The sequence below is a fragment of the Homo sapiens genome, chromosome 17, assembly GCF_000001405.40.
Source record: "Homo sapiens chromosome 17, GRCh38.p14 Primary Assembly".
NCBI classification, from domain to species: domain Eukaryota; kingdom Metazoa; phylum Chordata; class Mammalia; order Primates; family Hominidae; genus Homo; species Homo sapiens.
This window is the reverse complement of record NC_000017.11, coordinates 70,986,479-70,988,374: the sequence shown is the minus strand read 5'-3', so window position 1 is coordinate 70,988,374 and position 1,896 is coordinate 70,986,479. Positions and strand designations below refer to the sequence as shown.

Sequence of the window (1,896 nt, the reverse complement as noted above, 5' to 3'; positions counted from 1 at the left end):
CTTCAGAGTTCTCGGAAATAGTGATAATGTAAAAATATATCTACCCAAAATGGGAACTTAGGATTTATTAAGCGGCTTAACTTTGTTGGCATTGATAAATGAGCCTTTCTAAAAAAAGATTTTTTTTCTTTAAACTTGGTTCCTAAGTGAGCCAGCTGCAGATGGCTTTGGGGGTTTTTTGCAGTGTCATTATGAGAAACCGTCTGTCTAGCTTTCTTTCAAAATCTCCCAAGCTCTGCCCAGGTGTTGAGATTTAAGGATGTGCCATTCCTTACATCAGCTGCACAGGATGGACTCTCACCCACACTGTCAGCACCTTGTGAACAAGAGAAGGCCCTCTTTGTATACTTCCTCAAGGCACTTCAGTTGGCTATCTCATTCTGTTTCAAATTAACATCGGTGGTAATTTCCGCTGGTTATGCTGTGTAAAAGGAACTCAATATCCTTCAACTGTTCTTTGCTTGCAGGGCACCATGGGAGGCTGTTAAGATATGCAAATTGTGTTGTCTCAATGTACTCTCATGGGTAGTTTTTTTTTTCCCCCTTCTTCTTAGCAAACCAAAAGGAAATGTTAGAGTTTGGCTCTTAATCCTGGAGGGAAAAAGAACAGTGACTGCAGGTTCTCCCTTTGAATCTTCTCTCAAGGACAGATCATTCCATAATGTAGAATGTTACATTTGGGGAAAGTGGTTTTATGTATTGGGGGGACACATAAAAAAATAATAAAATTACTAAAGACATCTTTAAACATATTGTGAATTTGTTACTATTGTTTACATATATGCCAATTATTTTGCTAGAAAATGACATTTTTCTAGAACATGAATTTTGCAAACATGATCTTGTAGGGGATAAAAAAAATCTCTTTCTTACCTATTACAAGCTTTATGGTTGAGACCTCTACAACAAAAGACAGTTTAACAAAAGAAAAGCATACACATTTATTTAATAGAATAAATTTTATTTATTTTTTAATGATGTGGGAAACTTCATAAGGAAATGAAGATCTCCCCAAAATAGATAAATTTGTATAAGTATTTTTATGCTTAGGTTTGATGAAGAGTGAAATATGATTGGAGGAGAAAACGACATGATCTAATGGTAATAAACTGGGGGTGGTAGGGAGAGATTTAGTAAGGCCTTTTTATTCAGATTCTTCTCTGTGTCTCTATGTCTTAAGAGAGAAATTTCTTTCATCCAGGTGTAGAGAGAGTACCCCTGGAATGAGGCTCTTATGACCTGCTTCAGTGGAGAATGGCAAGGGGAAGGGGAGATGGCCTTCCTGTTCCTGTTGTTTTCTCAAATGTCAAGGTGCCATATTTTGGAGTAGCATGTCCTAGGCCCCATTAATCTTCAAGTAGTTTTAAATCACTGCGGTGAACAATGAAGACTTAACCCTCTGAACTTAATAGTTAAAAATATAACAGGGTTCAAGACTGGCCCAAGTTCAAATTTTTCATTCTGTTGATTATGTGATCTCAGTTACTTAAAATCTCAAAGTTTCAGTTTTCCTATCTCTATACTCAAGAAATTTGATACCTAGTTAATAATATTATTATAAGTCTAACACAAGGTAATGTTTCTGTCCCAAGGCCATCATGCATTTTAGGAAGGCTTTTATTGTTGTTATTTAATTGCCTTGGGAAAAATAGTTGATTGAATATTCCACATTCTTAGCAGGATTTGATAATATTTAATGACATATTTCTGCATCATGGATCTGATCAACTGCATCTGAATTAATTCCATTAACCTGTCATATATTATCAATAGATTAACTTTTTATATAGTATTTAAGTAGGCGCAATAATTATGCTACAGTGATATTACAGATGTTACAGTAGGTAGCTAGTCAGACATTAGCAGAGCAGGAGAGAGCTCCCACACCACACACAT

At 35.7% G+C, this 1,896-nt stretch overlaps 1 annotated feature.

Annotated features, from left to right (window-relative positions):
* Window positions 310-811: an enhancer, noted in NCBI's record as "OCT4-NANOG-H3K27ac hESC enhancer chr17:68983705-68984206 (GRCh37/hg19 assembly coordinates)". NCBI's record gives its function as "activates a minimal SCP1, AML or CMV promoter by ChIP-STARR-seq in naive H9 embryonic stem cells {active_cell/tissue: H9 hESC(naive)}" and the evidence as "EXISTENCE:reporter gene assay evidence [ECO:0000049][PMID:30033119]".